This window comes from Homo sapiens, chromosome 7, assembly GCF_000001405.40.
Source record: "Homo sapiens chromosome 7, GRCh38.p14 Primary Assembly".
In the NCBI taxonomy this organism is placed as follows: domain Eukaryota; kingdom Metazoa; phylum Chordata; class Mammalia; order Primates; family Hominidae; genus Homo; species Homo sapiens.
This window is the reverse complement of record NC_000007.14, coordinates 118,482,018-118,508,248: the sequence shown is the minus strand read 5'-3', so window position 1 is coordinate 118,508,248 and position 26,231 is coordinate 118,482,018. Positions and strand designations below refer to the sequence as shown.

At 34.6% G+C, this 26,231-nt stretch overlaps 2 long non-coding RNA genes across 2 annotated transcripts in view, besides 1 other annotated feature; both read right to left on the bottom strand.

Annotated features, from left to right (window-relative positions):
- Positions 1 to 5,269, bottom strand: part of LOC105375473 (uncharacterized) — a 66,227-nt gene extending 60,958 nt beyond the window's left edge. The window contains exons 1-3 of the long non-coding RNA XR_927909.2: positions 5,126 to 5,269; positions 3,568 to 3,687; positions 2,584 to 2,640 (exon numbers count right to left, since the gene is read on the bottom strand). This is a non-coding gene — a long non-coding RNA (uncharacterized LOC105375473). The remainder of the gene's footprint in view (positions 1 to 2,583; positions 2,641 to 3,567; positions 3,688 to 5,125) is intronic.
- A 981-nt stretch (positions 5,270 to 6,250) lies between these two features.
- LOC107986747 (uncharacterized) lies at positions 6,251 to 14,504 on the bottom strand. The gene is made up of 3 exons (XR_001745029.2): positions 14,461 to 14,504; positions 12,073 to 12,209; positions 6,251 to 6,653 (listed from the first exon to the last, which is right to left on the bottom strand). It is a non-coding gene; the product is annotated as an uncharacterized LOC107986747 (long non-coding RNA).
- Positions 17,147 to 17,347: a silencer, noted in NCBI's record as "peak6699 fragment used in MPRA reporter construct". NCBI's record gives its function as "represses an SCP1 promoter by STARR-seq MPRAs in K562 erythroleukemia cells {active_cell/tissue: K562}" and the evidence as "EXISTENCE:reporter gene assay evidence [ECO:0000049][PMID:32103011]".

The following is a 26,231-nucleotide window of genomic DNA, read 5'->3' as shown; positions in this document are numbered from 1 at the left end:
TGTGAATAAAGGTTGCCACTAGTAGTCAATGGTACTATAATTCAGCATATCTTTGCAATAAATTTATCTGGAAACTTCTCTAAAAAATAATGTAAAATAAAATTTTGGGGGGAGTGTATTTGCATGTAGAAAAAAAACATGCAACTTTGCCTCTTCAATATGAATTTAGACTGTATTGCCTCTAAGAAATTTTTATTTCTCCTTGAGTCCTTTGTGTTGTGTGGGTGTGTGTATGTTCCAAAAATAACTCACCAAAGTAAATAGTATTACAGAAGCAATGAAGAAGTCATCTTTTTATTTCCAATGGGAAAAATCATTAAGGATAACAGACCTGAGATGTCAGATTACAACTTGGCCTGTTCTGCTGGACATGACTAGTAAAAGCCCAACTTGGACATTGTCATGATATTAATTTCTAATTGGAAAGGTCAAATATAGTAAGTTCTCTGCTGAGGGCCTCTCATATCTCGTAGATTTCCCTGATGGAAGACCTAAGTGGTCACCCAAGTAGTGCTGGATGAAAACAGGCAGGCCAACTTGGAGAAAGAGAAGCAAGACAAGACTAGAAACTGGGTTATACCCACAGGAATCTGTGCAAAATGATAACCACATTGGGGGAGAGATGGATAACTTCTCTCTCTCTCCTCTATTTTTCTTCCCCCATTTCTCCCTTTTTTTAAAAAAAAAAAAAATACTTTAAGTTTCCGGGATACATGTGCATGCAGAATGTGCAGGTTTGTTACATAAGTATACATGTACCATGGTGGTTTGCTGCACCTATCAACCCATCATCTAGGTTTTAAGCACCGCATGCATTAGGTATTTGTCCTAATGCTCTCCCTCCCCTCCCTGTGAGCTCTTAACATTCAGTTTTAAGTGTTATCTCCTACACTTTTAGCCATCCATTTAATCTCAGATCTTCAGTAAAAAACTACTGTGTATATATATCTTCCTGTTCACAATGCATAGGGGAATTAAAACATGAATTTAAGAAAAGGGAATTAATTCTGGCTTTGAGTTCTGAGTATTTTCAGCAACATCATAACAGGAAAACATTGGCGGTAACAGCAGTGGTTTGAAAAATGGCTCAAGAAAAGTGTAATAACAGAAGATAAGGCCAGGGGACGCAGCTACCAAGTAGGTAATTCAGGAAGGAACAGGAGGCATTCCATTTTTTCCAAATATGCTAGAAAAGTAATAGGGATAGAAATATGGTTTATATAACATTATAATATATTATATAACCAGAACCAGCCCACTTATCTTAAACCATCAAATTGGCCAAAAACACTGTATAATGCCTACAACTAGCTTTTAATTGCCATTAGAGAATTCTATAAAACAAAATATTAATTGATTCTGAATTAATAGGAAAAAATACACTTCGTGGTAGGAAAGAGACAGAGATTCTTGACTTCCTTATTTCCACCTGGTGAAAGCCAGAAGGCTTGGATAATGTAGAAACTATACAGAGAAAAATTAGAAAAGAAATATAAAATAGAAATATTTGTGTATTCCACATTATATAATGATGTGAAAAATTAGTATTTCTTGAAATGAAATTTTTTTTTTAGTGGAAACAGCTAAGATTTTTTAGCCATGCCTACAGGTCCTGGAAGATTTTGAACAGTTCAGAATCTAAATGGTTTAAAATTTTTCTTAGAATTGTAAAGTTTGACAAAACTCACTGTGGAATGTTTCAGGTTCAGCTGTACTATTTCTGGTATATTTCTACCTCATCAAACCAATCTTCAAAACTATTTTGGATTGGCACCCATGGCCCGTGAATCTGGCATAATTCTTCCTGATGGCAGTCACACCACCCTGACAGATGGGTCTGACTGCAGCCATGTTAGTGGGCAAGAATGTCCATCAATTTTAATTAAAGTTTGCAGGTTTTCTGAAATGGTAGTCATGCTGAAGTTTTTCCTACCTAATTTTAGTCTTCTATATAGCAAAATTTGCCCTAGTTTTTGCCTCTCAGTTCTTCCTTTTCACAACTTATCTATGTGCAAGCATTGAGTTTTCATGCTGACTTCTGGGTTTATATTCCTTATGTTATTTTGTTCTTATTTCTCCCCTTCAAATCCTTCCACATCATGTTCTTATTCTGTATTGACAACTCCAAAACTTTTTAGTTCTCTATCCATTCTATCTAGTTTTGCCTCAGTCATTGGTTATTCTTGGCCTTTCCAGTCAAGGATCCACCATTTCTTATGTGGATTACTAGGCAGTAATCTTAGTAACAGCCTCCTGTACCCCTACTCTCTCTTCTCAACATGGCAGATGGTGAGGTTCATTTAAAAGAAATAACTCACATCATGTCACCCATCTGTTGAAATGCCTCCAATGTATTTGAGTGTCTCTCACAGTAAAAGCCAAATTACTTTAAAAAGCTATTAGGACATAAATGATCTGATCTGAGATTTCTCTTTTTATATCTCTCAATATTTATCTCCTATCACTCTTCCTGTTTATTTATTTATTTTTTAACTGAACTCCATGTACCTCAATCTTCTTGCTGTTCTTTGAAAACATGAAACAGGCTCTCATCTGAGAGCACAGGACCTGTTCTTCCATTACCTGAAATAGTCTTCTCCAAATATCTGTGTGATGTATTTCCTCTACATATATATTCTTCTATATATATAGAGAGAGACAAAAATATATACAGGTAAATACAAATTGTTATAGTGTATACATGGGTCAGTATACATATGTATATTTCCTAGCTTTGTCTGCTGAAAGGTTCTAAAAGCAGTAACACCCAGGTAGCAATGAGCACAACTAGGACTATAACCATACTTACTAAGTATCATTCTCTAATAAATGAAACCAGAACTCTCTGGATAAATTTTAGAGCCAGTGCAGGAAAAATACCAAGATAAGCCTGGAGTAACTTGTATTGTCAGAAAGTAAGGACACACATACACACACACACACACACACACACACACACACACACACACACGTAGTATATAGTATATATATGATATCCATGTAGTATATTCTGTGTGTATATATATACATAATGCTGCAAAAGGAACCAGGAGCCACCCTAAAGTAGGTTCCATTGACCAAAGATAAAACAATGTGAAAAAAATAAATAATGATAGTATTGGTTTATAGCCCAAAGAATAAAATAAATACATTGAGTCTATGGTGGTATAAATGATAGAATAAGTAAATGTGAAAGAAGGAACAAATCTTCCTTATGAAAGGATTTCAAATAAATGTAAAAGGGAATGAGTGAAATAAAAATTCATCCTTAGAACACCACAGCAATAATTGCTTCAGTAAAGATCCACTGAACCATGAAACTGTAAAAAGAAACATAATGGTTAGGTAGATCTAAATAAATTATTTTCTCCAATATATTTGTTAATTACTCTAGTGGTGTCAACTTGTGCCCACATACCCTTTGATACTCCTCTCTCGAGCAAGTGAAGAGTAACCCCCTCCCCTTTGGGTTTAGACTGGACTTAGTAACTCTCTTCTAGCAAGCCAAGTAAGGAAAGGGAAAAGTGGTAACTTTATTCTGGTGAAACCTGGCGGACACCACCTTACCCAGTGATCATGGCTAGCACCACCAGTGATGTCATGTTGATAACATGGACTTTCTCATGTGATGTGATGACAGGGCCCTTTACCTCTGTTCTGTTCTTCATCCAAACTCATTGCCCCAGTCTAAAAATCAGAAAACATCAGCAAACCAAAAATTGAGGGACATCCTACAAAATGCATGGCCAATACTTTTAAAAAGTGCAAGGTTATAAAAAACAAGGGACCAACCAAGAAACTGTTACAGATCAGAGCAGACTAAGGAGACACCATAACCAGAAGCCACATAGTCTCCTAGATTACATCCAGGACAAAGCTCATTAGTGGAAAAACAGGAAATCAAAATAGTTTGTAGTATAAAGCATTGTGGTAAAGTTAATTTTTCATTTTGATAAAGGTACCATGGATATGTGAGATGTCAATCTTAAAAGAATCTATGTGAAAGAGCTAGGGGACTTCCTATACTATCTTCAAATTTTTTTCCATAATTTAAAGTTATTCTAAAATTTAAACAAACCTCTTTCCAGACAGAGCCATATTTTCATTTTTTATTTATTAAAAAACAAAACCACATTTTATTGTTTTGGAGGATTTTCACCTTCATCTAAGGCAATGTCTTATTTTATATTTCTGCATATAATCATGTTTCATAATGCCAAAAAAAGTTTTAGGAACTACATTCATTATAGCAGGTTTTGATTTTTTAATTTGTTTTTAAAGGATGGTTTTATTTACTATTACCCCTTGATTCTTCTCTCTATTCTCACTTCCCTAAAATACCCCTCTCAACTAGTCTGTACCATTTCAAAATTGCACTGAGACATTTCTTTGATTATCTCTTTATTAATGAGTTATCATGAGGAAACAGGAGAACAGGGCTTCCTCCTAATTATTGGTATGAGTTTAAGCTTGATGTCTTCTTCTGTGAACTGTTACTTAATTAGATTAGTGGTTTTATACTGTCTTAGCCACTGAGATTTTTATTCAAAGTATGTATCTCTCCTTCTCCAAAATGTCTGAGGAATAACATATTCTATAAGATTCAAAAGTCTTGAAATAACTATCATTTTGAAAATATATTCTGCTATTCATTAGGGCTATGAATTTCAGGTATCTCTAGTGCTGATATCACTTGGCAGTGAACATTTACTGTTTAATGATGGTTTACAGGACTTTATTTCTCCTTTACTCAGAACTGTGTATAAGGCCATAATGACCTAGTTCAAACCACATTTCCAGCCCAATTTCATCAACTTCCCTGGAAAAGTTTGGTCCAGCCACATATGCTTTAGCCCATTTTTCTTACATCACCCAGGTAAGAATGCTCATTCCCTATTTTCTACCTTGTGAACTCCATTTTCTCTCTCAAGCTTTATAAATTCGCTAAGCACAGAGACACCTTTAATTTTACTCCCATCAGATTTTTAAGTAGTGGGTTTTTTGTTGTTGTTGTTTTTTGTTTTAGTTACTATGAAATTCTACTGTGATTATATTTTATTTTTGTTTACATAGCTGTATTTAACAATGAAATCTTCATTCCCTGAGATTAAAAACTGTGACTTACTTAATTTCATGTCCTTACTCCATCTGGAATCCATCAGTGCCTAGTACATCATTTAGTATTACAGAGAGCACATGGTGCCAATATATTTATTTAAAATGAAATGCTTGAACTTCTGAGGAAAGAAAAAGAACATTTAAAATTCTTTATAACCTACATTGGACTCCAGATAGTTTATACTCTAAAATATTTAAATGGATTAATTAAAACATTCCTCAGAGCTTACAGTTCTGTTATCAGGCAGCTTAACTTCAAAATACATTATTAAACCTTTTTTTCCCTTTCTATTGATTTTCAAGTAAAACCTTGAAACTGCAGAAGTCTTTTCCCTTATCCTTGAAAGAGACTGCACATCCCTGCCTTTCTCACCATGTATACTCCCTTCACATCTATTTAATTGTATTCTAGTATCTATTTACATGCCTTCTTAGAAATTCCAGGGGCTAATCTTGAGACAGACAGATCAATCCTGGGGACCCAGCTGCAAAATTCTGGAGACTACTTCAAAGTCACAACCCAGCCATACCTGAGACAATGCCAGCCTGCAGTCCAGGTGGGCTGGGACCCAAGATAGCCACGGGAAAAAGACACACAGACATTACTCAGCACATTTATTAGTGCCTTCCTTATCAAATTTTCTCTTCTTAAACTCTTGCCTTCCCACCAGAAATCGAAGCGGTTGCTTTGGGTAGGAAATTGGCCACTTCCCCATTTCTAGTTTTGGTTAATAAAAACACTTTCTTTCTACCAGATCTTGCTCTTTTTCATTGGACTCTGCCAGCCATGAGCATCCTGACCCATGTCAGTCACATTTCCACTCAGTACTTTACTTTTACACCTTTAGTGATGCTCCATACAAGATAAACTATTTTGTGTAAGTTTTGAATAAAAAGTGCTTATAATATCATTGCTCATTTAAATATTCATGCAATGCATATTTATAAGTATAATGGAAGAGGAGCTAAACTAGTGTCCACGAGTGGAAACTTCCTTAATAAATGGTAAAAACAGCCAACTTAAACCAGATCTATAGCATCAATATACATTAGAATTGTCAGGATGGAACATTGAACCGTATTACATTATCTTGAGCAAGAGACATACACGCTCAATTAAGATACAAAGAAGTTGAAATAAAGTCAACATTTTTTCAAGAGGAATATTTTGTCAAGAATATCACAGGAAAAATTTTAACTTCCTTATGAAATATCACCTGTGCATAAGATGGGAATCTTTCCACTTATTATTTTCTTGAAAATTGCCATGTGTGAAAAGTAAATTACTACGAACTTTTAGTTCCAGCCAACATGGCATAGGCTCATTCCTCCCAGCTACTCCTTCTTACAATTAAAATATCCTGGACAAAACACAACAAGCAAAGACAGAAAGACTCTGGATGGTGGAAAGAAGAAGTCAGCCTACCTCAGGACACCAGGACTTGCAGAATGACGTGAGAACAAGTTTGATGGTTTCCATATTGCCTCCCATATACCCCAGCCAAAATGCTGCTAACGCCTCCAACCTAGAACCACTAACAGACACAGATTTAAAAATAATTTAAAAAAAGAAGCACCTAAGAAAGTCTGCTTCCTCTAGCTAAGGAAAAACGGTGACCTAACAAGGGAAAATCTTCTTGCCCATTCCCAAGATGGAAAATAAATAAATATAAAGGTATTCAACTCCCCCAACTCTAGCCATCACCAAAATAAATTGATACTCCCAGTTCCTGTCTTCCTTCACCTTCTCACCCTCACCTTTCCCTAGTTTCAGCAGAGATGAACAGGAAGCTCATCATAAACCTATGTCTTGTTGCAGAAGCAAAAACTAGCTGCCCAGTTGTATCAGAGAGGCTGAGCAGGGAGCTAATCTCCCCACAACTGCTGGAATCATACAGTGGTATTACTACTCAATCAGGACAGTGTCAGCAGGATCCAGTGGGAAGATTAGTCTCCACCCTCACCCAGCATCAAGGATAATGAATCAAGTAGTGACAATTACCTTGGGCTAGTCAGCATTTCACATCCTGGTGTAAGCAGGACCCAGTGGGAAGCTGATCTTCCACACACCCAGCAGCAAACCCATTGAATGGAGTAATGCAAAGCAAGGCTAGTCAGTACTCTAGTTCCTACAACCCACCCCTGAAAATGGGGCCCAATGAGAAGGTGAGCCTTTTCCACCAACTGGAAACAAATAGATGTAATGAGGCAGTTTGAGATGGAACAGGATGGTATTCTGTGCCTACCCCCAAGAGTCACTCAGACCCAAAAGGGAGCTGAGCTTTTACCTCCATCCAGCAATCAAAGAAGTAGAATAAGTTGGTGGGAGGCTTAACTCTCAAAAGTCAACAATAAATGCAACAACAAACAATCCAATTAGAAAATGGGCAAAAGATGCATCATATGCTTCATCACAGAGGATATAAGATGGGAAATAAGTACATAAAAAGGTATTCAACATCGTTAGCCATACAGAATGCAAATCAGATATACACACTTATGAGAATAGCTAAAATAGAAAATAGAAACACCAAATCCTGGCGAGGATGCAGAGGATCACTCATACATTGCAGGTGGGAACATAAAATAGCACAGCTACTCTAAAAGCTTCTTATGCTACTAAACATGCTCTTACCACATATCCCAGAAATTGTACTACTGGAATGAAAAAAAAGCTCCATTTATTTCAGCAAAATGAAAACTTTTTACACAAAATCCTGTGCACGAATGTTTGTCACAGCTTTATTTGTAATAAACTCCAAACTGGAAACAACCCAATGCCCTTCAAAAGGTGACTTGTTAAACAAAATGTGGTACATCCATGCCATGGAATACAACTCAGTAATAAAAAAGGAACACTATTAATACATACAACATGGGTGGATCTCAAGGGAGTTATGCTGAGTAAAATTAAAAGCCAGTCCCAAACATTACATAATGTAGGATTCCAATTATATAATAATTTTGAAATGACAAAATTCTAGAAAAGAGGACAAATTAGTCATTTTCAGTGTTTATGGAGGTGTGGACAGGAGGGAGGTGGGTGTGGTTATAAAAGGGTAGTAAGAGGGATTCTGGTGATGGGATCATTTGTATCTTGACTGTATTGGTTGTCACAAACCCACACATGATAAATTTGTATATAACTAAATATGTACATACACACACACGCACTTGAGTGCATGTAAAACTTGAAAAACCTAAATAAGGTTGAAGATATGTATCAATATTAATTTTCTGGTTGTTATTTTATATTATAATTATGTAATACTGATGATACCACTGTAGAACTAATTTAAGGGCATATGGAATCTATATTATTTCTTAGGTTGCATGTGAATCTACAATTATCTTATAAATGTTTCTTTAAAGTAAATTGTGAAGTATTTAAAGTCGATGCAACTCAATAAAGAATACTGCTTTGTTTTGCTTAGCAGTAGCACTCTATATTTCTGTTAGAAAAGGGATGTTTTTCTGAAACTTTAAATCAAAAGCCATTCCTGGAATTATCACCTTTGTCCTGCAATATGCTTTGAAATATTTTCATGAATTCAGAGTTACACAAGCTGATAGTATAAGGCCCACCACTGCTGAGAGAAGAAAGTACTTTTAATAAACACACACAGTTCCTCTAATCTAGTAAAAGATCAATCCTGATATAATCCTTGTACAGAATTTCATAAGTGTGAGAAATGCTAAATATTAACAGTCCTATAAAAAATCTATGCATGCTTAGAAAAAGTAACACACAGGCACATACACAAGTACAACACACAGATGTGATGTTACAATGTCCCACTAAGCACTGGTAACCCCTTACTTTGTATTTTGTAACCGTTTTGATACAGGGTGAACATTTTCTAAAAAATAAATGTGAGATTTTTAGGAAATGTATTTTTTAATATTCTATTAAGAGACATATTCTGAGTAAATGATAAGTATTTTTCAAAGCACTGGGTAGTTTCCAATGGGCTGAAAATATAAAACCTAACATTATTGTAAAATAAGAAATTAAAGTTTATTTATTAAAGGTAGGCTGGGCGTGGTGACTCACACCTGGAATTCTGGCACTTTGAGAGGTCAAGGCTACCAAGGATTACTGGAGCCAAGGAGTTCAAGGCTGCAATGAGCCATGATTGTGCCACTGCACTTCAGCCTGGATGGCAGAGCAAGACCCTGTCTCTTAAAACATTTAAAAAAATGTAAATTTTAATTTCCAATGAAGGGATACATTCTGACAAAGCAACCTCTTGGGAACCTAAAACATGCAATGATATAAAAACAAAGTATATTGTTGTTCGCAGTGAAAATAGTTGTTATCTTTTTGTATCATTATCGTCAAGGTTGAAACAGGAAGTACCTGAATGGTATCTCAAGCAATGCATGTTAAACTAAGGACAGGACAGCATTAAAGAACATGGTGATTCCTAAAGAGATAATTGACAGATCATATTTTAAAAGTCTTGATACTTGAGGTCAAGGAATGAAGATAAAAACTACCTGAAATTTTTCAAAAACAAAGTAAAAGGTGACATCACATCAGAGCAAGAGTGAAAATTATGGATGGAGAAACAACCAAAAGGAAACTCTAAATTAAAATTAAAAACTTTCAGGGGGCAGGCGCGGTGGCTCAAGCCTGTAATCCCAGCACTTTGGGAGGCCGAGGCTTGTGGATCAGCTGACGTCAGTAGTTTGAGACCAGCCTAGCCAACGTGGTGAAATTTTTAGTTTCTACTAAAAATACAAAAAATTAGTTGGGCTTGATGGTGGATGCCTGTAATCCCAGCTCCTTGGGAGGCTGAGGCAGGAGAATCTCTTGAACCTGAGAGGTGGAGGTCACAGTGAGCTGAGATTGTACCATTGCACTCCAGCCTGGGCAACAAAAGTGAAACTTCATCTCAAAAAAACAAAAACAAAACAAACAAACAGACAAAACTGTCAGGGGCAAAAATACTTGACAGCATAGTTAGTTATTACATAAACCTTCATTCTACATGGCCCTGATGACATTAAGACAAAACCAAAAGATGCTAGGCTGAAGCAGGAAAGGAAGTGTAATAACTTTATTGGATTGGACTGCCTTAGCCTTAGTGAGTGTGGGCGAAGTAAGAGGAACTTGTACGTTAGTGAATATAATCACAAGTGCATTTTTTGAAGAGAGCTCTTTGTTCTGTTCAGTTTAAATGGAATCTGTAAAAAAGGGAAAATGGGATGTTATAAAGTTACCTTTCTCAATATCCTGCAAGTGAAAGGGATTTCTGAATCATATCAATAAAATATTTAAATTGAGACATTGAAAATTTGTGTTTGAACATAAATTAGAAAATAAAATTCATACTTTAATACCTTTTTTATCTTTACTATTCTAAAGAAACTGTAGGCTTAAGAAGATCTGGTGGGCAAGTCAAATTTATGAACAGAGTTAAGAACATTGAAAAATTGTGACCAGGAATATAAATAGAATGTTAGAATGTCTTTCCACTGTGAAACTGAAGCTTTATAGAACTTGCAGACATGGCAAAAATTCTATTTATCAAAATCATAAAGAGAAACAGACAAAAAGGCTGGTCATAGGTCAGTTACCTTGATAGATCTGGTCAGATTGTGAAAGGGGCTCAGGCACTGAAAGGATAAATTACTTTTTACCTGCCTGAAAAAGGCCAAGGGGAAAAAAGCATCTTTGGGGCTGAAAACTATTAGAACATTGTAGCTGTCTTGTGGAAATTGTTAATATCCAGGACAGCCACATTAGTTATTTTGAAGAAAAAGTGTAGATTATGAGGAGGATATGGTTGTCTCATTATTGTTAGTAAAAAAATAGAGATGACTTATTTAGTACATTAGGGTAAATGTGCTTCTATTTTTAGTCAATTATTAAATATTTGGATTTGATTTGTTTAGGAAACAAAGTTTCCTGCAAAAAAAAATCTTAATAAGTCTTTTAACAACAACAACAACAACAACAAAATATATATAAATATATATATATAATATCCCTACCTTCAGGATGTTTTTATCTGGATACTGGTATAAGACTAATGTATAAAAATTCAGGTATTAAAAAAATTTAAATTTAAAACAGTAACAAGCATATAATTATGTGCTTCATTTATCTGTAGGTACATTGTCCTACAGCAGTGATCTTTAAACTTGAGCATGCTTGACAGAACACAGATTATGACGCCCACCCCAGAGTATCTGGAAGTAAGTCTAAGGCAGAGCCCAACACTTTCCATTTTTAATAATTTCCCAGATGATGTTAATGTGCTAATCTAAGGACTACACTTTGAGAACCACTACCCTAGAAGAATTCAGAAGAGGAAAGTTATCATTGCTTACCGGAATAGCTGAGCATGTTTTGCAGAGTGATGAATACAGATTTAATTGTTATCAGTATATAATTTGTATTCAGGCAGTCAATGGTAAATTCCATAGTTATTTTGTTACTGTTTTTTTTCCCCCTCCTGCTCCTTTTCCTTTGCCTTCTTATTTTCTTCTCTTCTTCTTTGGGCTGAGAACAAATCATCTCCAAAATCCTTCACTATAATCTTAATTTTTTCTTAAGAAATCATATGTGTGTCTTAGTAATTTAAACTGGTACATTCCTATCTGGTGCTGACCAATTTCTCAGTAACATTGTCCAGCTACATGTACAACTTGCCAAACATAGTTGTCTCTCCAGTAAACCAATCAGTCTGATTCCACTGACCACAGCAAACTTCATTATTGAAGCAAGGGAACAAATTGGGCTGCTATAATGAATGCCATACACAGATAAACTCTGCAGTGTCAGCAATGTTTGCTCAATATTTCTGAATGCAAAGGCAATTTAAATAGTGAAATGTCAGGATAAAGATATAACAGGATGTAGGGATATAAGGCCAGATTTTTTTTTACATTACTCAATGGAAAATTTTACCCACAGGAACTTTTCTTTAACTCCAATAAACTTACTTTTATTTTTGAGATACATGAATTGTTTTCTTTTTATTTTTGGCTGGTTATTTTTCCAATCAAAAGGTATCATATTTTATATAAAAATGCAGTGTTACTGTGTTTCCTCTCTTCAAATTATATCTTTGGTACTCTATCTGGAAAAGAGAGAGGGGCAAGAAGATTTATTATTTTTAAAATAGTTACAATCTGTTTTTAAAATGACATAATGTACTTTATGATGCATGTGCCAACATATTTATATTAAGCATTAAAGTATAATCACAGCATTTTTACAGGAAGATGCTGATTATATATGTTTTCTATATCACTCACATAAGCATCTTTCTATGAGTGACAAATTGAAATATTTAAACTCAGGTTTCTGCTGGTTACTGTTTTATTTTATTGAAAAATTGAATAGACTCCATTTTAACCTGCACATGCTGACCAAAGAGAAATTTAAAGTAATGATATTTTTTACTATAAATCCAAACAGACTTTATCCACATCATTTATATGGATGTAATATCTACCTATCTATCTCTTTTTATTCCAATTCAATATTATAGTAACTTCTTTTAAATAAAATGTAATCTTTATGGTTAATGCCACCCACCTATGACCTAATTAATATGTAAATATTAGGTAGGTACATACCATGAAGAATTAAATAACTGATTAGTTTATTTTAGTTTTACTTTATTGTAAATTAAGACATTTTAACTTTTTGGTTGTTAAAGCAATGTGCATAAGTAAATGTAGAAACTCAGAATCATTTAAAAAATAATTACAATCTAATATAGGTAAATGGAAGGTTTTATTTGAAGAAACAATAAGTTAAGTTCCATATAACTTGGTTAAAATGCACCATAGCATTCAGCCTTTAATATTTTAAACATGTCAATTTAAAAAAAAAGTCTTTTTTAAAGTAGTAGAAGCTATAGCAACTTGAGAATAAAAGTAAAAGCAAGCATTTCAAGTAAATAAAAATGACAAAGTTATTGATGTCTAATGCAACCCATCACACCCCCTGCTAAGATGAATCAGTCCTCAATCTAGTATTTTTAAACACTGTCAGAGATGCCATATCTAGTTTTTGAATAGTTATTTCACAATTTTGTTTTAGTCTCATGACTTTTGCAGCCACATATATGCTAGATTTTAATTTTTCTAAATTATAATCAATTCTTAACACTGACACCAAAGTGAGTAGGTAGATTCTAATCAAGGATACCCTTACTCACGTCAGAATCTCAAATATCTATGGAACTGCTTTTGGTGTCATACAACTTCATGGTCAAAACAATTACTTTTTATTGAACATTTGAGGACCCATACTCATTCTCACTGCTGTTTTAATTAATGCTGGCTTCAAATCCTGTAAATTATATTAATATTTTAAAAAATAACATATGGAGCACCTGCACAATCTTGGATCTGAAAGCCTAAGTACCTGCTCCAGAAAGAATTCATTGTCTTATGTCTGTAGCTATTTTTTGATCAAGAAAGCCATTAAACTTGACTTCATATCACCAAATAGGAAGAACAGCAGCACAATTAATAATGTGCTAATATTCATAAACTGAATTAATTAAATGATTTGTGTAAGGGGTCTCATCCATGTTTTTTTTTTGTACTTTGCACGAAGTATTGGGTACATTGACATTATTTTTCAGATTAGGAAATGAAGCCCCATAACTTTAAATGAAAGAACTTTAGATGAAATAACTAATACATATTTATGGAATATTTAAATATTGTTGAAATGTATTGGAGAAAGTCTTAGTGATCATTTAGTTCAATTGCCCATTGTTAGAGGACATGGATTCAAGTCTTGAACCAGAATAAGTTATCTAAATATCTCTAAGCCTTAACTGCCCATCTGTAAAATTGAATAAGTATGCCAAATTCATAGCAAACTGATAATGATATGTGAGAAGCAAAAGTGGCTGTTAATCTGCCTATGATTTTTATTTGAATGCAAGTAGGTATCTAGGCATCCCAACAATTTACAGTAACCTTTTTGGAAAATATTTGCATATTATTCATTTTTACATAAGTAGTAAAAGCACATGGTACAGAATTTAAAGGAAAATTTAAAAAGGAAAAGAGTAAAAAGTAAATGTCGACCATATTCCTTTTCTCTAAGATTAATTTAAACCATTTGTTTTAGAAACTTTTTTTTTGTTTTATTATAACAAACCATTTGTTTTAGAAACATAATTTTTTATTAAAGACATTGTTTCTCGGCGGGGCGCAGTGGCTCACGCCGGTAATCCCAGCATTTTGGGAGGCCAAGGCAAGTGGATTACTTGAGATCAGGAGTTTGAGACCAGCCTGGCCAATATGGGGAAACCCCCATTTCTACTGAAAATACAAAAATTAGCCAGACGTGGTGGCACCCACCTGTAATCCCAGCTACTACTGAGGCTGAGGCAGAAGACTCTCTTGAACCCGGGAGGCGGAGCTGGCACTAAGTTGAGATCGCTCCACTGCACTCCAGCCTGAGCTACAGTGTGAGACTAAGAAAGAAAGAAGAAATTATTTCTCAGCCACACTCAACCTTCACTGCACACCCCATCAGAATCATCAGTGTTCTCCCTGCCCATGCATTCATTCAGGAGAGAAGAAGGGTTTCTGATGTGATACCTTAAACCATCTGATCTAGACCAGCTGCCCTGGAGCACAGCAATTATTCTCCATCATTACCATTTGGATTCCCTCCCTTTCTCTCATGTGTTTGCCTCCCCTTTTTTCATTTTCTGGTTTGTACTCTTGTTTGAGTAAAACATATACTCCAACAGTTTAGGGAGAAAGAGCACGTAGGAAGTAAATTTTTGACATTTAATAATCTCTGAAAGCATCTTCCTTTTTCACTTTCACTTGGCTGGCAAAAAAATTCCAGTTGGAAATCAGTTTCCTCCATACTTTTAAAAGTTTTGCTTACAGTATCTTTAATAGAATCTTCTAGCTTTCAGTGTTGCCCATAGTTATATTCTCAAATCCTAAATTTGAAATATTCTAAATTTTCCACAATATGCTTTAAAGAAAATATATTTTTAAAAGGCATCAACTGTTTCTCAACAGGCAGCTCACCATGAAATATATAAATAAATAAGGAAGCTCAGAACGCTCCAGCCTCACCAGGCACTCAGAGCTTGTGCTTGTAACCTGTTCCAACACTCCTACACAGGAGCACAGAAGTGTTGGGGAAAAAGAATTAAAAACAAAATATTTTTCTAGCCCAGATAACTTCTCCACAAAGATAAAAGAGAGGGGGAAAAAAGAAGTTTATTATTGAATAATAAAGTCAGAATGTGATGTGCATCAGTGGCAATCTGCTCATAGATTTTATATAGTCACCCTTTCAGATAGGCAATCGGAGACGACCCAGCGCATACATATTCTCAGGATAAACAATGACTGGCCATGAAGTAAGAGGACTTGACAGCACCATTTGTCACACATAGTTTATCCTAAATTCACTTGGTAATTGTGGTGACCATCTGTGTTAGCTAAATGATTTATTCAAAGGAAAAATAAGCTTCTCGTGTCTTCAAGACAGGAAGTAGTGTTGCCATTTGGAGCAGGACGTCTGCCCAAATTCAGCTCCAATGGAAATAGGGATGCCTTTCTTGATGATTACAGTTGGAAGAGAGGCAGAAAGGTGGCAAGAGGCTTATTTAGCTTTTAAAAATATTTGCATACATTTCAAAGAGACAGAACTTATAATTACAAGTTTTATAAAATACATACAAACGGAGTGGAGGTGTCTTTTTACTTATTTTTAACAGGGAGAATTAAGTCTCTTGTTTTAATTTGAATTTGCCCTTACACAAGCAAAAGTTTCCAGACATCTGAGGAAAGTCTCATAAATGAAAGACAGAATGCCATGGAAGAAAAAAGAGGAAGAAGAAAACTTGGAAATAAAACTTTTCATATTCTTAGAAAATATGACACATTAAAAAACATTTTTATTTATAATCATTCAAACAATAAAAAAGAAGTCCTTGGAAATAAAAACTTAAAACTAGTAAAATAAATAAAAATAGGAAGTAAAGTCAAGGAAATCTACTGGATGGTAGAGATTTGGGGAAAATGGCAAGGGGGAAAGGAAGGGAAAGGAAGAAAAAAAAAGACAAGGGAAATATAGAAATTAGAGAACCAAAAATTGAATTATAGAAGCTCCAAAACTAGAGAATAGAGAAAACAGGAGGAAAGCATCAATTAATTAGTGCTACTTAGCAAAATCCTTTTACTAGATGTGTGGAAGGTTACTGTTCCCTGGATTCTATATGCATTTTATGTGTTTTTAATATCATACAAATTTGCAAATAACTGAATAGGTCATCTTTAGCAACTCATTTATATTTCTCTTGGTTTCAGGTTTTGTTTGTTTAATCATTAATGTAAAAAAAATGGTCTTAAAGATAATCTTGGACTCTTTCAAATCCAAAATTGAATTAATTCTAGTACAAAGCTTAGCTCAACATGTTGCTTTTCCTCATGGTATAATAGCTGGTCACCATTGGCTCTTTAGTACTTCAAATATAGAGTTGCTGAGTCCAATTTCAAAGTATTATTTAACAACAAACAAATACCATAGCTGAATCAGTAAGCTCAGTATTTGGAACTGAAGTATATGAATTCCAATATGTGGAGATAAAGGAAGATGAAAAGATAAGTGAACTATAGTTTGGGACAGAAGGAAAAATAAAGAGAAATAATACTTTTACTTTGAGTCTTCTTTCCATGCTAGGTTAGAATGTAAGATATTAACTCATTTCTTGCTTCCAGCATTATGATCAAATTACAATGGTTAAAACTACACATGGTAGGCTGATCATAAACCCAGTTTATCCTGGTGATCAGTCAATGCTTTTTAATTATATTATTACTCCCTTTCATCCTGATAAGTAAATTTTGAGAGTAAATTATCTAGTCACATTATTCTCCAAGAAGTTTTTTTAAAAGTAGGATATAAAAAAGTAACGATCAGTAGTAAAAATAGCAACCAGCAGTCCTGAGAATCATTGGCATTTAGAAGAGTGTCATCAATTTCTTAATCAATAGGGAATTTAGAGGGACTAAATATTGTCTTTCACTGCCTTTGTTTGGAGATGTTCATTAAAACAGTCAGGGCAAAAAGACGTGAGAAAGGCAGAAGGGGGAAAAGATAAGAAGAATATGTCTGCTGGGCATATTGAGATGACACCAGCAGATGCTTCAGGTGACCCTGTGGCATCAGCATAGTGGCCTAGCTGTCAATAGTTAGCAAACATCACTGAACATGCTTCACGTGGGAACACCTGCTACCAATTTCAAGACAGAAAGCACACTAAAATCACATAAAGTATCAAAACATAGTATGCGTTAACTACACTTTTAAAAATCTTTAAGTGAGGAAAACTTTTCTAAGTTTGATCAATACTCTAGAAACCAAAATTATTTTTTAATTGAAAGCTTAAAAGCAATAATAAAAATTATTCTGAATGAAAAAAATAAATCAAGCAAAGAACAAGTCTGGGGAAAAATTCGCAACTATGGCAGAAAATAAGATAATTTTATTAATTAAACAAAAACATACACAATAAAGAAATAGACAATATTAGTAGACAATTTACAAAACGTAAGATAGTTTGAGAAAACAGTAACAACAGCAAATGACCATCAAGGATCTGAATGTCCCACTGCATAATTGAAGCAATGTAAAATAAAAGTCAGATATCTTTTTTTTTCAATTCTCCAGTTGAAAAATATATGTGTGTGTATGTAGTGTTTATTAACATTTTGTTGTTGGAGGGTGCTATGGCTTGAATAGGTCTCCCAAAGATCTTGTGTTGAAAATTTCATCCCCAATGCAACAGTTTTGAGAGGTGAGACCTTTAAGAGATAACTAGATTATGATGATTCTGCCCTTGTGAGTGGATTAATGTCATTATCAGGGGAGTGCATTAGTTATCTGAAGAATGGGTTTGTTATAAAAGCAAATTCAAACCCCTCTTGCTCTCTTGTGGATACTCTTGTGCCCTTCTGCCTTTCACCATGGGATGATACCACAAGAAGACCCTCACTAAGTGAAGCCCTAGCCTTGGACTTTCCAGCCTCCAGAACCATGAGCCAAATGTTTCTGTTGTTTATAAATTACTCAGTCTGTGGTATCCTGTTATACCAACAGCAAAACAGACTAAGGCAGAGTAGATTGGAAACAGATGCTTTTATGTTTTTCTGATTGTAGTATACATTTTTTATGGTTTTCTAGAGGGCAATTTGACATTAGCTCTGTAAATTTTAACAGCATATATACTTTGCCCAGCACTTCTCCTGATACATATTCACCCAGACTTTCCAAAGAGTCTTCTCATCTGTTTTTCATCATTGCATTTAATGTATTGACAAAAAACTGCAAATATCAAAAATAAATATCAGCTTGATTTTTTTAGTGTAATCTACAATTAAAATTTAAATATAATTAATCAATAAAATAAATGGAGGCTATTTTTATGGACAACTCTTTAGAAATATTATCGGGAGGAATAAGCATGCTTGAGAATAGGAAATATGTAGCAAAATCCCACCTGCTGGCTCTTACTCTGCTAAGCATGCATAACAAAATGCTAACATTTGCAATATTTGGGGTCATTTGGGAGGAGGTAATAGAAGATAATTTTTATTGTTCATCACACAAATTATTTGTTTTTTTTAACCTTATAAAATTATTTTGTATTGCTTTTATTTTAAAATAAATAATGTAAAGCAGCATTTTAAGAACTTGAAAAAGTGATTTCTAAATACAAATTCTAGGAGACTTTAAATATTTTAGTACCATTTGTCATTTTAAAATATTGAGCTTTCCTAAAGTAATTCCAATAAATAAAAAGTCAAATATATAAGGAAGTTTTAGGAATTGAAGCATATATTCTATTGAAATTATGCAAAAGTTATTATTTAGCAATCATAAGTTAAGCCCTTAAGTCTACACAAGAGATTCTACTAAACAGACTATTCATGTCTTCTGTGCCCACTGAACCTATTGATAAAGTAATCACCTTCTATGTGCTGATTCTCTTTTGCAGGCTGAAGGGCAGTGTGGACCAGTGTCCTCAGATTGTTTAGGCAAGTTGCTTCACCTCCCTGAACTTCAATTTCAACACCACTTAAATGATAATAACAATGCCTTCCTGCTAGTAATGACGACTGAATGCATCAGAATTAAAAGGGTAAACGTGTAAAAGCATAGCTACTGAATAAATGTTGCTTCAATATAAGTTTTTAAATATTTGATAATAATGTGTTTCCATTGCACGGGAAGAAAGTGTGTGAACATCCAAACAGGAAAACAAGGTCATCCATATTTAATACTCAATGCCCCCTCACTCCTTTACACTCACTGCACAACATCCCTGAAAAGATGAAGACTTGGGGACAGCGGATGTTTATAAGTAGTTGCTGATAAATGTGTTTGCTTGCTACCCTGTGGCCCAAGGCTTTTACTTTATGAATATTGAAAGAACATAATCAAATCTATCCAGGTCCGAACTAATGTAATAGTAACAGTCTTTCTGAATGCCATGGTTTTGGAGCACATTTCATGGTAAAGCAGCTAAACAGCTACTACAGTGAGAGGTGAGCCCACACTGGCCACCACCTGCAATCTGTGTTGTCCCAGAGTCAATCCAGATCATGGTTCTCTCTTGAGGCCTTCAGACCAAGGTGCAGGGACAGCTTTTCTCCCTTCATTTTTACATTTTTCTTCTTTCCCTTTTGCTCTTGTTAAGAGCTACCTGTATAAAGTACTTTATTACTCATCTTCTAAGAGCAAAGGGAAAATTCAATGAACCTATCTGAACCTTGGTAATGCAACATTAATTAAGCTGAGACTTCACCAAACAAGACATATAAAGTAATTAATGTATTCAGCCCCAGCACATACAAAATATAGCAAAATGGACAGCCTTCAAAAAAATTTTATCTCTATGTAAGAGAATAATTTTCTTACCACAGTGCTTTCTGTGAAATCACAGATTGTTTTTAATCATAATAAAAAAATTAGGCCATGCTGTTATAGTCAGGATTAAATTTTAATTGATCCATAAAATAATATCAATTGCTAACAGTTTTAGGTGTTTACCATGTGTCAAGCTTTGTTACAAACACTTGATGTTTATTCTTTTCCAAAATCTTCATGACATTATGACATAAGTCCTATTATGTCCCCATTTTACTCATGGTCATTTGATTTTGTTGTTGTTGTTGTTTAACTTATTTCCATAGATTATTGGGGAACAGATGGTGTTTGGTTAGATAGGTAAGTTCTTTAGTGGTGATTTGTGAGATTTTGGTGCACCCATCAACTGAGCAGTGTACACTGCACCCTATTTGTAGTCTTGAATCCCTCAGCCCCTTCCCACCCTTTCCCTCTGAGTCCCCAAAGTCCACTGTGTTATTCTTATGCCTTCGCATCCCCTAGCTTAGTTCCCACTTATGAGAACATCCGATGTTTGGTTTTCCATTCCTGAGTTACTTCACTTAGAATAATAGTCTCCAATCTCATTCAGGTCATTGAAAATGCCATTAATTTATTCCTTTTATGGCTGAGTAGTATTCCATTGTGTGTGTGTGTGTGTGTGTGTGTGTGTGTGTGTGTGTGTCTGTATCACAGTTTCTTTAACCACTTGTTGATTGATGGGCATTTGGTTTGGTTCCACATTTTTGCAAATGTGAATTGTGCTGCTATAAACATGTGTGTGCAAGTATTTTTTTTTTTGCATAATGACTTCTTTTCCTCTAGATATATATCCAGTAGTGTAATTGCTGGATCAATGGTAGATCTACTTTTAGTTCTCTGAGGAATCTCCACACTGTTTTCCATAGTGGTTGTACTAGTTTACATTCCCAACAGCAGTGTAGAAGTGTTCACTGTTCAATGCATCCACACCAACATCTATCTTTTTTTAATTTTTTGATTATGGTCTTTCTTGGTCGTTTGAAAGAAGAGGAAAAACTGGAAAGAGAAAGAGCAAAGAGGAAAATTTTTTGAAGTACATTTTGAGCAAAATTTGCCACTTTCATTTTTTTGAGAGACTATAAAAATAACTTGCAGGAGATTTGCAATTGTTTTTGGAAGACAGATATTCATGTTTCTAATTTGACATAGAGCAAAGATGGGACCATGAAGCATATAATGTGTATGTATATATGCATATTTGTGTGTATCTATTTAAGTGTGTATGGAGGAGACTGCATATGTTCTCTATACGTGAGGATCACATGAGAATCCTCAAATTTAAATCTAATCACTAAACAGTACTTATTCTTTCATAAGCTTAAACAAGTAATGCTCATTTATTGTATGTAAATAGATTTTTGCCTAAATTAATATTTTTCTTGTCACTTTGGTATTTTTTGCTTTTTATTTTTGTTTTATCTGAAGGATAAACAGTGATTCTAAGCAGATAAGAATTTCTGCCATATCAATGATATATTGCTCTTCTGTTAATTAATTTTCAAAAAATGTAGACTTTTAACTAAATATAAAATAATTTGCAGAATAGAAAAAAGATGTTAGGTAAATAAAAAGAATATGAAAACTTTGGATATTTCTGGCTTAACATCAATCATACCTTTGTGCATATATATTAATCAAAATCAAAAAAATTATCTAAAGATTAAGTATTAAGAGAAAACTTACATAGGTAGAATTGAAATGACTTCTTTCTTATAATGGTTTTCCTATAGAATGTTAAGGTACATTTCTTTTATACATAATTTATTAATTTTTATTACTCCAAAGTCAAGAATGATAAATCTTTAAAATTCAGTCTATGATTTTATTGACCAACAGCTTAACAGAAATAGAACCTCAAATTTTAAAATCTTATTGTCATTTACTCAAGTATTATCTCAATAAAATGCATGTTAATATCTTTTAAAAATGTCTTCAGGAAAAATATAAGCAATAATTTTTATCCTACACCCTGAAGAACTGAACTATTTCTAAGGCTAGAATTCTTAGCTGATTGATACTGTATAGTTTGTTGATGCTTCACAAAGCTCAAGATCTTTTTATAAATCAATCGCTTGAGATGAGATGTTTTCTCATTGTAATATACAATGTGTGTTGTCTCCTCCTAAACAAATTTCTTATCACAAAGGTACAAGTAAAAGTGTCTCAAATATAAACTTAATGTCTGATGCACATGTTCTACATGTATAAGCATGCTATAAAATAAAAATCTGATCTTTTGTTTCTAACTCATACACACTAGATTTGCCTTTTATGTTTCTCACTACTAAATTTTAAAAGCTTACTTATAAAATCATTATAAGTATTCAAAATGCTATTTTCAGAATAGTTGTTATCTGTGGGTGAAAGAGAAGTTTGACATTTATTTACTTATGATTTGCCCTGAGAGATAGACTTAGAGGAAAATGATAGGAATATTGGCTGTCAGTTTGAGGATAAGCATTAATCTTCATAAGCAGCACAGGGCTGAGTTCATATGATATATTTCTACAAAGAGACAATTTTTGGAATGAATCTAATATATTCTAATTTTTGGAAATGATACTTTCTAACTTACAAACAACTAAATTATAAAGTTACTAGACTGCGAAGGACTCTTGACATCCCGCTAGCTCTGTTACATGAGCTGTGGCCACTTCTTTGCTTGAAGCCCACTGCAAAAACCTATCTATTAGGAAACATCTACAAGGAAAATAAGACAGTGTTTTGTTTTCATGTGAGGCATTGAATTCAGTGTACACTCGAACGTGTCTTGATTTTCATCTCACCCCACTTCATCCCAAAATATTAGTTATAAATTTATTTCTTAGAGTATAAAGGAGTGCTGTTTTCTCTAAGGTCACTTTTCATGCAAAAAAATGAAAAAGCTGCTCTCCCTGTACCTGTCTCCATGCCAATCCTGGTGAATTATCAGGACTTTGTGTTTCAGTAATCTAGACAGTTCTTATACATGGGGGTAATCGATAGCATATTGCCTGTTTCTATGAGAAAAAATAAATTTGGTAAGTGGAGTATACTACCTCACTGTTAAGATCCTGGGTAATTTTATGTCTGATTTTTCAAGATAGAAAATACAAATGTGTTGTATAATGGTACTGAAGATGGTCTCAGCCATACACTTGAAAAGCAGATAAATATCTGAGAACTGATAGAAAGTCAGAGTTTCTACAACATTCATGGAGATCGGAGTCTGAGAGGAACTCCTTGGAGAAGCAGAACATCATATGAAATGTCCATGTTGATGCCTATGAGAACTAGACAATGGGCATCTTAGCTATGGGTGACTGAGGGAAAATGTCATGCTAAACTTGACATGGAGAAAATGGAGCCAACAGCAGAGATAGCTATCATGTGATAATTAATAGCACCTCCCAAAGAGGTTGTCAGAGTATCCAGAGAAATAATTTATATAACGGTCTTGACATATAATAAGTCTTCAATATTTCTTAGTTATTTTTATTATCATTCTAAATATTCTTCATACATTTCTACTTAAGTACACCATGGAATACTATGCAGCCATAAAAATGATGAGTTCATGTCCTTTGTAGGGACATGGATGCAATTGGAAATCATCATTCTCAGTAAACTATCGCAAGAACAAAAAACCAAACACCGCATATTCTCACTCATAGGTGGGAACTGAACAGTGAGATCACATGGACACAGGAAGGGGAATATCACACTCTGGGGACTGTTGTGGGGTGGGGGGAGTGGGGAGGGATAGCATTGGGAGATATACCTAATGCTAGATGACGAGTTAGTGGGTACAGCGCACCAGCATGGCACATGTATACATATGTAACTAACCTGCACAATGTGCACATGTACCCTAAAACTTAAAGTATAATAAAAAAAAAAAAAAGAGTGTTGAGTTCTAAGACTTGCCTAGTCTTAGAACAATTTTTTTCCATGATGACTGAGGACCCTTATGGAGCTTAATTCACCCTCACATTGACTTATTAAACACACACACACACACACACACACACACACACTTCATTGACAAGAGAAGCTAACTTCCTTGAAGGGATATAAACTGAGGCATAGAACAGAAAAAAAGAGAAAAATAAAAGAAATTGTCTGTCTTCCTCATGTCCAAAATTTTTCATTGTTACTTAATATGTTGGTATCCACTTTCATAAGTAAATTTAGCATAAAATTTAAGGAGCTCTTGAAGAATTTATGAAAAACATAGGGATTTTTTAAAGTACAATGTAATTTTATTATAACATTTTAGCCTAAAAGATGGATATAGATAGACTATATACAAATCTCAAAAGGGAAGTTTAACTATATATGCTTAGGATATGAGGCAGAGCTCAGCATATCTCTTGGCAATAGAGATGCATCATTAGACAATTTTGTTGTGTGAATATCACAGTGTGTGTGTACTTATATAGACCTAGATAGTATAGCATACTACCCACCTAGGATCTATGGTATAGCCTATTGCTCCTAGTCTACAAACCTGTACAGATATTACTGTAGTTGAATACTATAGGCAGTTGTAACACAGTAATGGTATTTGTGTATTTAAACATGTCTAAACATAGGAAAGATACAGTAAACATATGGTATTACAATCTTATGAGACCACTGTCGTACATATGACCTGTTGTTGACTGAAATGTTAATACAACATGTCCATAGTCTAGTTTTAATAGCCATCCATATGGACATTTCATATGATGTTCTGCTTCTCCAAGGAGTTCCTCTCAAACAGGCTCAGATCTCCATGAATGTTGTAGAAACTATGACTTTCTGCAGATCCCAGATATTTCAATGCTTTTCCAGTGTCTGGCAGAAACTATCTTCAGTATTAAAAGCTACTACAACATAATAAAATTTCGGTCAACAGCAGATCACATATATGACAGTGGTCCCATAAGATTATAATACCATAGGTTTACTGTATCTTTCCTATGTTTAGATAAGTTTAAATACACAAATACCATTACCATGTTACAACTGTCTATAGTATTCAGTACAGTAACATCTGTACAGGTTTGTCGCCTAGGAGCAATAGGCTATACCTTAAATGCTAGGTATGTAATAGGCTATACTATCTAAATTTATATAAGTACATACATACACTCTGTGATATGGTTTGGCTGTGTCCCCACCCAAATCTCATCTTGAATTGTAGCTCCCATAATCCCCACATGTTGTTGTGGGAGGTAACTGAATCATGGGGGCAGGTTTTCCTATGCTGTTCTTGTGATAGTGAATATGTCTATTGAGATCTGGTGGTTATATAAAGGACAGTTCCCCTGCACATGCTCTCTTGCCTGCCACCATGTAAGATGTGCCTTTGCTTCTATTTTGCCTTATGCCATGATTCTGAGGCCTCCTCAGCCATGTGGAACTGTGAGTCCATTTAACCTCTTTTTCTTTATAAATTACCCAGTCTTGAGTATTTCTTCATAGCAGTATGAAAATGGACTAATACAGTAAATTGACACCAGTAGAGTGGGGCACTGCTATTAAGATACCCAAAAATGTGGAAGATACCCAAAAATGGGTAACAGACAGAGGTTGGAACAGTTTGGAGGACACAGAAGGAGACAAGAAAATGTAGGAAAGTTTGGAACTTCTTATAGACTTGGAGGGCTCAGAAGACAGGAAGACGTGGGAAAGTTTGGAACTTCCTAGAGACTTGTTGAATGGTTTTGACCAAAAAGTCCAGGCTGAGGTGATCTCAGATAGAGATAAGGAACTTATTGGGAACTGGAGCAAAGATGATTCTTGCTATGCTTTACCAAAGAGACTGGCAGCATTTTTCTCCTGCCCTAGAGATCAGTGAAGCTTTGAATTTGAGAGAGATGATTTAGGATATCTGGTGGAAGAAATTTCTAAGCAACAAAGCATTCAACAAGTGACTTGGGTGCTCTTAGAAACATTCTGTTTTGCCAGGCACCGGTGGCTCATGACTGTAATCCCAGCACTTTGGGAGGCCGAGGTGGGTGGATCATGAGGTCAAGAGATCGAGACCATCCTGGCCAACATTGTGAAACCCTGTATCTACCAAAAATACAAAAAGTAGCTGGGCATGCTGGCATGTGCCTGTAGTCCCAGCTACTTGGGAGGCTGAGGCAGGAGAATCACTTGAACCCAGGAGGCAGAGGTTGCAGTGAGCTGAGATCATGAC